The sequence below is a fragment of the Homo sapiens genome, chromosome 7 (genome assembly GCF_000001405.40).
Source record: "Homo sapiens chromosome 7, GRCh38.p14 Primary Assembly".
Taxonomy (NCBI): domain Eukaryota; kingdom Metazoa; phylum Chordata; class Mammalia; order Primates; family Hominidae; genus Homo; species Homo sapiens.
Window position 1 is genome coordinate 12,548,796 of NC_000007.14, and position 14,441 is coordinate 12,563,236.

Below are 14,441 nucleotides of genomic sequence, written 5' to 3' on the forward strand. Positions count from 1 at the left end.
ACACCACTGCACTCCAGTCTGGGCAAGAGTGAGACCCTGTCTAAAAAGAATAAAAAATAAAACATGAAAACTTGTACCATGGCTTATCCCTTTAGAACTTTTGCCCAAATGTGCCGATATACATACATTTTAAAAATCAAATTTCATATATATTTCCTACCTGAGCCTGGCCTACAAAAATGAGTATCTTCCTGTCTGGTAGCCATTTATTAATGGAATATTAAGCTTTGTTATTTTCAGAAGAGAGTTGAACCAAACCAGAAGTTGCAGAAACTCTCAGAATTTTGAAAAAACAAAACAAAACATTATCTTACAGAAAAGATGCAATAATAATCATTACCATCTGTTTGAAATAATGGTGTGTAAAGGGGTATAATTTTAGGGAAGGCCAAAGATATCTAGAAGGGGAAGCTAAACGTGAAAACAGTACAAGCCAAATTGATTAATGCAGACCCATGCAGCAGGAAATGTCATGGCAAGAGATGATCTGACCAAATGACGTAATTTCAGATGAGCCAGCAAACTTTAACATTCAAATCAAATTGCCTTAAACTCTGGGGTTTTCTTTTGGTGGGAATTAGTCATCTGAATAGTGAAATGGAACCATGGACTAAGGAATTTGTAAGATCCTATTCATTTCTCAATTTCTAGCTCGGATTTTGTACTTATTCTACTATGAAAAAATCAAGCACCCATGTGGATGAAAATAAAACTATATATTTTCAGCCATCATATGCATAAGTATATGTAGATTAAATATCTAAAGGGAAAAAATAAAGCTATAAAAGTATTAGAAGGCACTATGGGAGAATATTTTAAGTTCAGTGTGGAAAGTCCAACTTAAAGAGGAAAAAAGTCCAGATACAACCAACAAATTAGGATAAAATATTTGTAAAACATATATGAGACAAGGAGTTAATATTTCTAACATACACAATGATTAAAGAAATGAAAGACACAATAGACCAACATATAAATACTATGAACATAAAAGTCACAAAATACCTGTAAACAGCCAAAAAGTATAAATATGCTCAACTTCACTATCGGCAAGAAAATGCAAATTAAAGCCAAATGCAATACAATTTGTACCCACTGGATTTTCAATAACTAAACTGTTAGCATTATCTGGCTAAAGTCTGAAAAAATGAAGTCTTACACACAGTTTTTAGGAGTATGAAGTAGTATGATATACTTGGGGAATACTTTGGGAGAATCTATTAAAATTTAAAATATAAATATAATTTGACCCATCACTTTCACTTCCAGGAATCTATTCTTCAGAAAGAATGATACTCATATACTAGGTAATATATAGAAACCTGTAACTTTAAGTATTATTTGCAAAGCAAAAATCCTGGAAAGAAAAACTAAAGGTACACCAGTGTAACAATGGTACATCTATACAATGTGATAGAAGACAGTAATTTTTTTAAATGAGATAAAGCTATATATACTTACTTGAAAATTGGTCCATGACAAGTAAAAAATTTAAGATAAAACCAAAAGGCACACTATTTTGGTGCATATATATGTATGCATACTTATACATATGTATATTCTTACAGGCCTATGTGTAAATATACATACATGTATACACACATGCTTGCATACATGTGTGCACGCGTGCACACACACATACACTTGCTTTAGCCTGTATATATATGCGTTTATGAAATAATAATAGCTGGCCAGGCACGGTGGCTCACGCCTGTAATTCCAGCACTTTGGGAGGCCAAGGCGGGCGGATCATGACGTCGGGAGATTGAGACCATCCTGGCTAACACAGTGAAACTCCATCTCTACTAAAAAATACAAAAAATTAGCCAGGCATGGTGGCGGGCACCTGTAGTCCCAGCTACTCAGGAGGCTGAGGCAACAGAATGGCGTGAACCCGGGAGGCGAAGCTTGCAGTGAGCCAAGATCGCGCCACTGCACTCCAGCCTGGGCGACAGAGCGAGACTCCATCTCAAAAAAAAAAAAAAGAAAAAAAGTAAGTAAATAAATAAATAATAATAAAATTAGCCAGGCGTGGTGGCAAGCGACTGTAGTCCCAGCCATATATACATATATATAGAATATAACAGCTAATATTTACTGTGTCTTTACTTTGTGCTAGGCACTATCCTCCACATTTTATAACAAATTGATTCAATCCTCAGAATCATCCTTTGAGCTAGAAATCAGTATTCTCCCTTTGTAAAAGCAATTTGCTCAAGTCACACAGTTGGCGATAGAGTTGGAATTTATTTCATACAGTTGGTCTCCGGAACCTGCACCTCTTAAACTCTCCATTGGGATCAGCTTGAAAGCAAAAGCAGACCACAGAGCCTGGTTAGAGTTGTCAAACTCTTAACATCCCAAGAATCTTATTCTTTCCTCTGAGTCATGCGTGAGCATTTTGAGGGTTCTTCTTGCCTTTTTCAAGGCTTGGGCTCCTTTTGCTCTCTAATTCAGGTCGCTGAATTCTAACTTTGATCTGTAAATCAATACTTCTATGGAGTAAAATGGAAGGTCTGTGAAATTAAAATATTAAGATTCTGTTAGATAAGAAATGCAGCTTTTGAGCCGGGCATGGTGGCTCACGCCTGTAATCCCAGCACTTTGGGAGGCCAAGGCAGGCAGATTACGAGGTCAGGAGTTCGAGACTAGCCTGGCCAAGATGGTGAAACCCCACCTCTACTAAAAATACAAAAATTAGCCAGGCTTGGTGGCAAGTGCCTGTAATCCCAGCTACTCAGGAGGCTGTGGCAGGAGAATCAGTTGAACCCAGGGGGCGGAGGTTGCAGTGAGCCAAGATCGTGCCACTGAACTCTCGTGAGGTGTGACAGAGCAAGACTCCATCTCAAAAAAAAAAAAAAGAAAAGAAAAAGAAAAAGAATGCTGCTTTTGGAGAAAATACTGACATTTGATTGACAGAAAAAGCTTTCCATTGGATACACAATAAAATTGATTTAATTCTATGCTTGCTGAGAATATTAATAATTAAGAATTTAAAGCAATGAGGGAAAAAGGCCTGCACTTGCATAAAGCTATACAAAAATGGTGAACGAGAGATGAACCTGTTCCACTCTTTGGTCAAATAATTACATTAGCAATTGGTTAAGGCCGAGGTATAAACTGCTGCTTGTATTTCCTTTTGTAAAATTTTTGAGCAAGTGAAAATTTTGAGCAAGTTTTGAAAAAGTGACTATGTAAAAAATTAAACGGTATTATTGTCAGTGTTATGTGGAGACTATCAAGCCCTTATTTAGGAAAAAAAAAATAGTGTTTTCCAATGCTAATTCAAACCAGATGCATGTTAAAACTCAAAGGAAATAGTTTTATAAAACTGAGTATATTTTAGTTGCTTTCAGGATAACTTTCAGAATCCTTCAGCCTTGTAGCTAAATGCTGCATTTTTGCCTTTTTCTATAAAGCAAATACTTTTCTAAAACTTGTTTTCAAAACAATTATTGTACCAAACATATTCATTACTATATATTTTAAATTAAATGTGAATGCTGTCCCAGAGCAAATAATAACTACTTCTTATTGAGCAAATTTTATGTGTTCTAGTTATTTATGTGCATTGTATGCATAGTCCAATTGTATCTTTATGACAATGTACATATGTTTCCTATATATGTGTTGAATATGGATTCATCATCACCATTTTACACATGGGGGGGTAGAGGAAGTTACTAATTTGCCTAACTTCACACAGTTTATAAATGGAGCATCTGGAAATCAAACCCAGGTAGTTTTTATTTTTTAGGTTGCAAAGTCCAGATTCCTAACCACTATACGCAATGTCTCTAGAGTTTAGGCATGTTAATGGCAAGAAAAGGTTTCAAGTGTCTTTTCATCTCTAATTTTATCACTAGAAAACTATTCTGCTAAATCATAGCTCCTAAACTACTAAGAATTTGGCATATTCATTTTTCTACAAAATTTAATGCACAAAGTGAAAAGTGGTATTTTTTCTTTGAGTTAAAGAATACATTTTCTGTGTTTTCTAAGATAGAAAACTTAAAGATAATCACCATATTTTTATTGACTGTAGAGAAACATTCCATTTTTTTCACTAGTTGAAACACAAGTTAAAATATTCAAATTTTCAACAGTTTTCCTTTCATTGAGATAGGACTTTAAATATTTAAAAATTTCAATTTCATTTATGAAACTTTTAAACTGCCCTTAACAGATGAGCAGAGCGCTTTCTGCAGAAAATATTCACTTTCAATCTCATAGTCCCAAAAGGGAAAGTTGAAGGCTAAGTTGAAAATCTGCTTGGGTCAGCCAAATGACCCAAAGGAAACCCTGAAGATGTTTTGCAGAAGTTCCCCTTCTCTAAAAAAAGACAGGACAAAGAAGCCAAAAAGTTACATCCTCACAATATAAAGCCTGAATGACAGAGGCCTTCAGAGTTATTTATTCTCCTCAGCCTATGGACATCCTCTTTCAGATTTTAGTATTCACCATTCAAAATGTTTAAGTTATCATGAACTTTCATAATAAATGTGGCAATAAATGTTACCAATTTTCAACTCGCATTTTAATGTAGAAAACTCTCCCTAAAAGTACATAATCAATTAGTTTAAACATTTCAATAAGATAAGCCAGTTTTGCTCATTAATCTCCTTTGGACAATTGTTCTCTGTGCTGTCTTTTATAAATTAGCTTTTTCCTTCACAAAGTCTTTGGACTATATTAGATACTTACTACTTGACAGTTTAATTGTGCAATTGCTTGATAAGAGTAAAAGCAACATCTGTAGACAAAATCTGCCCTACACAAACTTGGAGGAAGAAAAGTACCAATGATTACCTCACATAAGAAGAAGCAGCTCACACTTGACAGTTTAATTGTGCAATTGCTTGATGAGAGAAAAAGCAACATCTGTAGACAAGATCTGCCATACACAAACTTGGAGAGGAAGAAAAGTTACCAATGATTACCTCACATAAGGAAAAGCAACTCACACCTGCCCATTGTTTTGGAAAAGGAATACAAATGTCAGCCCTGAATATGGTGGGCCTAGTTGGACTGGCACCTTAAATTCTGACAAATATATCCAGCCATACAATGCTAAGAGCTTTATTCATTTCATAAATATTTCAGAAGGCGATTATAGCTAAATGATTTTTAAAACCACACAAAACCTAAGTTTATCCTTTTATTAAGAGAAACTCTTTATAATGGAGAGTTTTAAACATAAGCAAAAGTTGATCTAAGAGAATAGTGAACCTCTATATGCACATTACTTAATACCAACAATTATCATCAATCACTTTGGCAATACAGTCTCATCTATCCCTTTATATTTCAAAGTAAATCCCAAACATTGTATCATTTTATTCACAAATATTTCACTATATCGATAGATGAGAAAAAACGCATTCTTTACCTCTTATTTTAAGGAATATATTAATACACTATAATTTTTCATTGTTATTGTTTGAAAAATTAAATATTGCAATAACTTAATAAAAGCCATAAATGCAAGAGCATAGTAATTAAGACAACTGAAAAGAATATACCTGAAAGGGAAACATTTTCCTTCATTTTTCTGCCTTCTCTTTCTATAAGTACTTACCCAGCTGTTTGCTTCTTGCTGCTTCCTTGATTCAAAAGGTAAATATGCTCAGTGGGTCATTACAAGATTTGCAATTAGATAAAAAGGTCAAAATAATGCAATATAGAACATTATTAGCCTTAATCATTTGAACTTTTTTGTGATGTTCAAATGATTTGTAAGTTTGTAAGGCTGCAGGATTTCAGGTCTTAAGAACAAACATTTTTCTACATGTTGTTAAACCAAATGGCAATAAAATAGTAAATTAATAACCGAGGTTTTACAGTTCATGTGAAACACTTCCGGAGCTAAAGATTTTTCTTTGTGTCATAGGAGCTAAAAGTATACACAGGAAAAAGTGAACCCAGAACCACTACACTAATCTCTAATAATTCTTTGTATTATTCTTCCGGTTCCCAAAATTTCTTTAAATCCGTAAGTATTTTTATTATATCAGGTCTAAATTTTATATATTGATATACTAATATTTTTTAAAATCTATCACTAAAATAGAGATATAAAATCGATGTTGAAATTGATGTTGCAAGTTTTATTTTGTTTTGCTTTGGGATCTTGGATTTCAAGTCCACAGAATTAAATTGGCATTACTGCTTAGTTCATGACTGGCTTTTATTCTAACAGTGCACCTCCCTTATTTTATATTTCATTTCGAGATTCTTCCCATTAATTATTGCATCATTCATCCCCTTCCCATCTCCACCAGGCATCCACTTACATGCAGACAATGAACACTCTTCCAAACCACATTCCACATAGTTGATGGCCATTTGCAAATACATTCTTCCATAAAATTTGTTTTTATTAATATGGGTGTGCTCTAAATGGTATTGTGTCCGAATTGGTGGGTTCTTGGTCTTACTTACTTCAAGAATGAAGCCGTGGACCCGCGCAGTGAGTGTTACAGTTCTTAAAGGTGGCGTGTCTGGAGTTTGTTCCTTCTGATGTTTGGATGTGTTCAGAGTTTCTTCCTTCTGGTGGGTTCGTGGTCTCGCTGGCTTCAGGAGTGAAGCTGCAGACCTTCGCGGTGAGTGTTACAGCTCTTAAGGCAGCACGTCTGGAGTTGTTTGTTCTTCCCCGGGGGGTTTGTGGTCTCGCTGGCTTCAGGAGTACAGACCTTTGCAGTGAGTGTTACAACTCATAAAGGCAGTATGGACCCAAAGAGTGAGTAGCAGCAAGTTTTATTGCAAAGAGCAAAAGAACAAACTTTCCACAGCATGGAAGGGGACTGGAGCGGGTTGCCACTGCTGGCTTGGGCAGCCTGCTCTTAGTCTCTCATCTGGCCCCACCCACATCCTGCTGACTGGTCCATTTTACAGAGAGCTGATTGGTCCGTTTTGACAGGGTGCTGATTGGCGCATTTACAATCCCTGAGCTAGACACAAAAGTTCTGCAAGTCCCCAATAGATTAGCTAGACACAGAGCACAGATTGGTGCATTTACAAACCTTGAGCTAGACGCAGGGTGCTGATTGGTGCATTTACAAACCTTCAGCTAGATACAGAGTGTATTCACTCTGAATACAGCCGATTGGTGTATTCACAATCCCTTAGCTAGACATAAAGATTCTCCAAGTCCCCACCAGACTAGCTAGATACAGAGTGCCGATTGGTGCATCCACAAACCCCGAGCTAGACACAGGGTGCTGATTGGTGTGTTTACAATCCCTTAGCTAGACATAAAGATTCTCCAAGTCCCCACTAGACTCAGGAGCCCAGCTGGCTTCACCCAGTGGATCCCACACTGGGGCTGCAGGTGGAGCTGCCTGCCAGTCCCGTGCCGTGCGGCCGCACTCCTCAGCCATTGGGCGGTCGATGGGACCGGGCGCCGCGGAGCAGGGGGCGGCGCTGGTGGGGAGGCTTGGGCCGCGCAGGAGCCCATGGCGTCGGGGAGGCTCAGGCATGGCAGGCTGCAGGTCCCGAGCCCTGCCCCGCGGGGAGGAAGCTGAGGCCCGGCGAGAAATCGAGCGCAGCGCCGGTGGGCCGGCACTGCTGGGGGACCTGGCGCACCCTCCGCAGCTGCTGGCCCGGGTGCTAAGCCCCTCACTGCCGGGGGCGGCGGGGCGGTCCCGCCGCTCCAAGTGCAGGGCCCGCCGAGCCCCCGCCCACCCGGAACTCGCGCTGGCACGCAAGCGCCGCGCGCAGCCCCGGTTCCCGCCAGCGCCTCTCCCTCCACACCTCCCCGCAAGCTGAGGGAGCCGGCTCTGGCCTCGGCCAGCCCAGAAAGTGGCTCCCACAGTGCAGCCGTGGGCTGAAGGGCTCCTCAAGCGTGGCCAGAGTGGGCGCAGAGGCCGAGGAGGCGCCCAGAGCGAAAGAGGGTTGCCAGGGCTGCCAGCACGCTGTCACCTCTCAGTATAACTGGTATTGCATTCTGTTTCTTACTACTTTATTCAACTTTATTTTTTTGAAATTTGTCTACGCTGCTATTCCTTCCATGCTGTTTATTGCCTCTGACACTGTATGTTCTCTCATACATACCCATATACCACGTTACTCATACATTTACCTATGTCTGATCTCCTAGGTTGCCTTCAACTTACTTATAGACACAGTATGCTCTGGCAGGCATCATTGTACATGTCTCCTTGTGCATCTGTAAAGAGCACGTCTAAAGTACAAATACAAGAGTGGAATTTGGGAATACAAAGTATGGGCTTACAGTTTTCAGTAAATACTACCAGATTGCTCTCCAAATGGCTATGTCATGTTGGAGCTGCCTCTCTCAATATTGTAGGAGGTTTCTCATTTCCCCACATCCTCACCAGCCTTTGATATTATATAACTTTTTAATCTTTCTAATTGTTTAACAAACTGATAGCTATAAAATAGTGTAATAGAAGTAGAATCATAGTGGTTGTAGTGGTGTTGGGAATAATGCTCAAAATCCTAAGGAAATTGAACACTCAAACCAAGGATTTTCAGCAAAGCAATTTTACTTCTGCACAGAGGGGTGCTTCTCCCTGGCCAGTCGCCATGAGAGCACACCAGAACAAAGGGGCATGAGAGCCTCTATTCATGACGCAAACCCTGCCCCCGTACCCTTTCTCCATTGACTGGAGTTGGGCCGCACAATCTAAACTAACCGGTTTGGCTAAACATTTGAATTTTCTTTAGATAAGGTGGGCACGTAAGAGAGAGAGGAAACGGGGAAGAGGTGTCTGAAATGAGCTAGAGAACTAGTCTTCTGTCCAAATAAGGAAAGGAATGCAAGCTGGTACTGATAATGCCTGGTACTCTGGCATGTCTGGGCATGTAACAAAGGCAGAAAGGAAGGAAAGAGGAGAAAAAGAGAAAGGGGGGAGGGGTATTGTGAATTAAAGAATAAAGGATTAATCAGGCTATTCAAAGAGAAACCTCATCATATCCCACAGTCATTAGCTACATAGGCTCAAAGAAACCTTACCTAGATTCATATTCTAGGTAGGTAGAGTACTTACGTAGCTTTCTGTACCTGTTTTCTGATCTGTAAAATGAGATAATAATAATACATAGCTCGTAAAGTTGCTATAGGTATCAGAACAGTTATATTTTAAAAGAATTTAGTAAAGCCTGGCCATTGTAAACACTCAAATATTGGCTATGTGACTCCTACAGTTAATAGTGAGGACCCAAGCACTGAGTACTCTTCATGCTTTACTGGCCGTTCACATTACTTCATATTGAATCGGCATCATCTGGGATAAATAACTGAGGTTCGTTGTCTCACGTCAAGGGAGTCGAGGACACAGAAACACAAAAAGTGCATTTAAGAGAGTAGGTTTAATAGGCAAAAGAAAAAGAGAATAGCTCTCTCTCTTGCAGAGAGAGAGGGGCGCCCGAGTGGGTCTTCCAGTACTGTGGTGAAATGCACGGGGGTTTTATAGACGAGCTTGAGGAGGTAATGTCTGATTTACATAGGGCCTGAGAGGTTGGTTGGACCAGGTGTGCTGTTTGCATAGTACAGGAAGAAGCTGGCCATCCCACCCTAATCTTGTATTATGCAGATAGGGTCTCTACCTGGCTGGTGCCATGTTGCCTGCTTTTTTACTGCACACATGGCGGCAAAGAAAAGGGAAGAGGGAACCTCCATGTTGAATATACCTGGTTTCCAGGTATTCCTTTCCTATTGGCACAGCTGCTGGCGTTTACCTATGCAAGCTTTTAGCTTGTTTATCTACGCTTGCAGCGTGATTTTTCAGGTTGCATTTTGTTAGAAAAGAAATGATTTGGGGGCTGCTTTTTTGTTGTTGTTTGTTTGAGATGGAGTCTTGCTCTGTCGCCCAAGCTGGAGGGCAGAGGCACGATCTCAGCTCACTGCAACCTCTGACTCCCAAGCGATTCTCATGCCTCTGCCTCCCGAGTAGCTGGGATTATAGGCGTGCACCACATGCCTGGCTAATTTTTGTATTTTCAATAGAGACGGGATTTCACCATGTTGGTCAGGCTGGTCTCGAACTCCTGTCGTCAGGGGATCCACCCGCCTTGGCCTCCCAAAGTGGTGGAATTACAAGAGTGAGCCACCACACCCGGCCTGAAGCTGCTTTTTATTAAAAAGAAACCTTACCGAGGACTCTCTTACCCTCACTATCTGCCTAAATAATTTCTTTCTAGTTCCTGTATCAATATTCAAAATTACTGTTCCATAAGATTTATTGAATTTCTTCTTGCTGAGTTCGTTTTGTTTATATGTATATTCCTGATATACTTATTTAATAGAAAATATTTTTATTTTTACACAGTCTGTCAGCCAACATTTAACTTCATCTTTGTTGTCTTATTTTGAAGTTACATCTTTAGTTTGATGTAGTCAAAGTTATCCATTCTTCCCTTTGTACTTTATGCTGTTTTGGGATTTTGTTTAAGAAAGCCCTTTCTACTCTGAACTCATAAAGACACTCAATTTTATAGATTTTGATTCTTTTGAATTTCTATTTCATTTTTTATATTTTACATTATTACATTTCATTTTACATTATTCGAATCGTTTGATAATCACTATAGTTTCTTGTGAAGTCTCTTCATTTGTCAGTACATTTTCTTAGACCTTTTATTTACACGATTATCATCTACAAATATTGAGTTTTTATTTTTCCTAGCAATTCTTAATATCTTGTATGTCTTTTTCCAGTCTTTGCATTGTCAAAGACTTCTGTACCCTCTTGAACAGTAGTGAGATAGTGGATTTCTTAATGTTTTTTTCTATCATTTTTGCCAACCATAGATGAAATCCTTCTAAAGTTTTTTTATTTAATGTTATTAATGCAATTTATTATTATGCCATTACATTAATAAAGTTCCCTTCTATGTAACTTTCTAAGAATATTGAAAAAGAAGACTTTTATTACTTTTTACTTTAGTAGGATAATCCTACTGTTTTTTCTTTAAACAAAACACATTTTTTACTTGGTTGGAGAAAATTTTATTTATGACATTGGCATTGATATTCATAAATGAAATTGAACCATAATTATATTTTCTAGAATACCTTTATTGGGTTGTGTAGCTATAATAGCCTCATCAAAATGATTTTAGCAGCTTTTCTTTAATTGTGTTTTCTACATCAACTAGTGTACAATAGGAAGTAAAGGTGAATCACATGTAAAACTTTTTGGGCCTTGTATTTTGTAGGAGGGAAGTTTTTGCTTTTAAAACAATGTTGTTAATTTAACATGTATTTAAGATTTTATATTTCTTACTGCATTAATGTTGGCATTTTTACATTTTCTAGAACTATATTCATTTTTCTTCAATTTCAAATTTATTGACATTTACTTGCTTAGATTATAACAAAAATGTCTTATATTTACTTATGAAAAGTCTAGAAATAAGAACTTTAAAAGATTCTGAAATATTATTGACCACTATAAGCCAAGATATGATCAAATGCTAAAATTATACAATGTTCCCAGAAGAGTAGATTAAATTAGTGCTAAAACACAATGTTCAATTGATTTTTAATTTTATGTGGAAAAATATGTTAAGCATTGCTAAGACAGAAAAAAAGCATTGAAGACCTGCCATAGCAGACATTAAAGGGAAACAAATAATTAGTGTGATATAAAAACGCATTCTACAGATAAATGAATAAATAAGTTAGTAGATTAAATAGAAGATTAAGAAACAAAAATTTTACATTTGATAAATATCTTTCAAATCAGTATATATACATGATTTAACAAATCTTGTTAATAAATGTGGTTATAAATTTAGATTAAAATTATATCTTTAAATTATGTTATAACACAAATATATATTTCAGATGAAGTAAAGATCTAAGGAAAAAATACAAAGTTTCAAAATTATTGCAATAGAGTATATGAGAATGTTATTTAACATCACCTTAGGAAAGCTTTCCTAAGGAGAAAACAAAGAAGGAAAATAAATGGTATGTTTGCAACCCATCTAAGAGGAAAAATTAGCATACTTAACACACTAACACAAAATATGAGTTTAGTCGATATATGTTCAAATAATATAGTAAGAAATTTCCAGAAGAAATAAAAATAGTAACAAATATATAGAAAAATGCTAAATTTCACTAATAACACAGAAATACAACTTTAAGAAAATGAGATATAATTTTCATGCATTAGACTGGAAATGAATTTTTAATGAAAAATTGTTAGAATTTAGTACTAAGATAAGGGAAATGGTCATTTTTGTCCACTGACTTAGAAAATATAATTTGGTGATATCCTTAAACCTTTAAAAAAAAATGAGTAAAACCGGCGAAACCCAGTCTCTACTAAAAATACAAAAAATTAGCCAGGCAAGGCCAGGCGCAGTGGCTCACTCCTGTAATCCCAGCCCTTTGGGAGGCCGAGGTGGGCAGATCACGAGGTCAGGAGATCCAGACCATCCTGGCTAACACGGAGAAGCCCCATCTCTACTAAAAATATAAAAAATTAGCCGGGCGTGGTGGCGAGCGCCTGTAGTCCCAGCTACTCAGGAGGCTGAGGCAGGACAACGGCATTAACCCGGGAGGCGGAGCTTGCAGTGAGCCGAGATCACGCCACTGCGTTCTAGCCTGGGTGACAGAGCGAGACTCTGTCTCAAAATAAATACATAAATAAATACACAAATAAGCCAGGGTTGGTGGCACGCACCCGTAGTCCCAGCTATTCAGGAAGCTAAGGCAGGAGAATCGCCTGAACCTGGGAGGCGGAGGTTGCAATGAGCCGAGATAGTGCCACTGCACCTCAGTCTGGGTGACAGAGCAAGACTCCGTCTCAAAAAAACAAAAAAACAAACAAACAAAAAAAGTGTAAATCATTTGGCCTAGAAATTCCACTTTTAGAAATCTGTCTTACAGAAATAGTAACGTGTACACAAAGAAAGATGTATGGAAGGTTATTAATGTATTATTTGAATTTATGCATGTAAAGCATCTAAAAGTACCAAAAGAAGGAAATTGCATATTACTTAATGCAATGGAATGCAAAGCCATTATTTTTAATGAGGTAAATCCATACATACTTACCTGAAAGAATGTTCATAATCTATTAATACGATTTTGTTTAAATGAAAGGTAGCTGGATGCTGATATGCATTCCAGTTTGGCTGAAGTACCTGTGGGTAGATGTGTATGTGTGTTTATGTATGAATAACTGTAATGTGCCTTTACTGAGCATTTTACTAGCTGGTAAGAACTATTTCAAGAACTTTATTTGTGTTAACTCATTTCACCTTCATAACAATCCTATCACATAGTACTCCCATTTTAGAGATCATAAAATAGAGGTGCAAAGTAACTTGCCACAGCATTGCTAGAAATCGCAGAACAGGAAACTGAACTCAGGACAGCTAGTTCCAGAGCCTGTGCTCTTAACCACTAATACAGAGAGAAATGGATGGAGGAACAGAAATGGTTGAATAGAGGAACAGAGATAGGCAGACAGACAGAAAGATAATGCATAGGCATGTCTATCAACTCAGCAATTTGAAAGGGATATCAAATTGTTAAAATGATATAACCTCCAAAAGATGGCATTTTAGGAGTCAATGATGGGCACTGACTTCTATTTTTTTTTTTTTTTTTTGAGATGGAGTCTTGCTCTGTCGCCCAGGCTAGAGTGCAGTGGCGCGATCTTGGCTCACTGCAAGCTCCGCCTCCCGGGTTAAAGCCACTCTCCTGCCTCAGCCTCCTGAGTAGCTGAGACTACAGGCGCTCACCACCACGCCCGGCTAATTTTTTGTATTTTTAATAGAGACGGGGTTTCACCGTGTTGGCCAGGATAATCTCGATCTCCTGACCCCGTGATCTGCCCGCCTTGGTCTCCCAAAGTGCTGGGATTACAAGCGTGAGCCACAGTGCCGGGCCAAGGGCACTGAACTTCTTAAATAACATAATACTTGTTAAAATAGAGAGCGAGCAAGAAAGACATGATTATGGATGAGTGTAATTGTTCTATAATTTTCACATAAAAATAAATGTCAAAATTATACAATTGAGTGATGCTACAATGACATGGAGTATTTCTGTGCCTAACAAGTCAGGGTTTCCCAAATGGAAGGATGGAACTTTCGGGAATTCTGCTTTTAACCCCAACCACTCAAAGAAAAGATATGTGTAGTATGAGTCCTAAACAAATTATAAATGGAAATGTACAGTATTATATCATGATCTTAATTTTGTGTAAAACGTTATCAGAGCATATCCCTAGGTTGTATGATTAGGGATAATTTTAATCTCATTTGTAATTGGTATTTTCAAAATTGTCTTCAGTAAACATGTGTAACCACAGCAATCAGAAAAAAATGCCATGTAGGTACTGAGATAAAGAAATGGTGGGAAAACAAAAAGAATTCTCCCTCATGTTTACTGCCCCAAGTATCCCAATGCCCTAAGACTTCCTGGGTGAAGCAAATTGCTCTCCATCTTTCTTTAG

At 37.9% G+C, this 14,441-nt stretch overlaps 2 annotated features.

Annotated features, from left to right (window-relative positions):
- Window positions 8,399–9,598: an enhancer, noted in NCBI's record as "BRD4-independent group 4 enhancer chr7:12596820-12598019 (GRCh37/hg19 assembly coordinates)". NCBI's record gives its function as "activates an origin of replication core promoter dependent on BRD2, P300/CBP, MED14 and CDK7 cofactors, and independent of BRD4, by STARR-seq in HCT116 cells {active_cell/tissue: HCT116}" and the evidence as "EXISTENCE:reporter gene assay evidence [ECO:0000049][PMID:35650434]".
- Window positions 8,891–9,585: an enhancer, noted in NCBI's record as "H3K27ac hESC enhancer chr7:12597312-12598006 (GRCh37/hg19 assembly coordinates)". NCBI's record gives its function as "activates a minimal SCP1, AML or CMV promoter by ChIP-STARR-seq in primed H9 embryonic stem cells {active_cell/tissue: H9 hESC(primed)}" and the evidence as "EXISTENCE:reporter gene assay evidence [ECO:0000049][PMID:30033119]".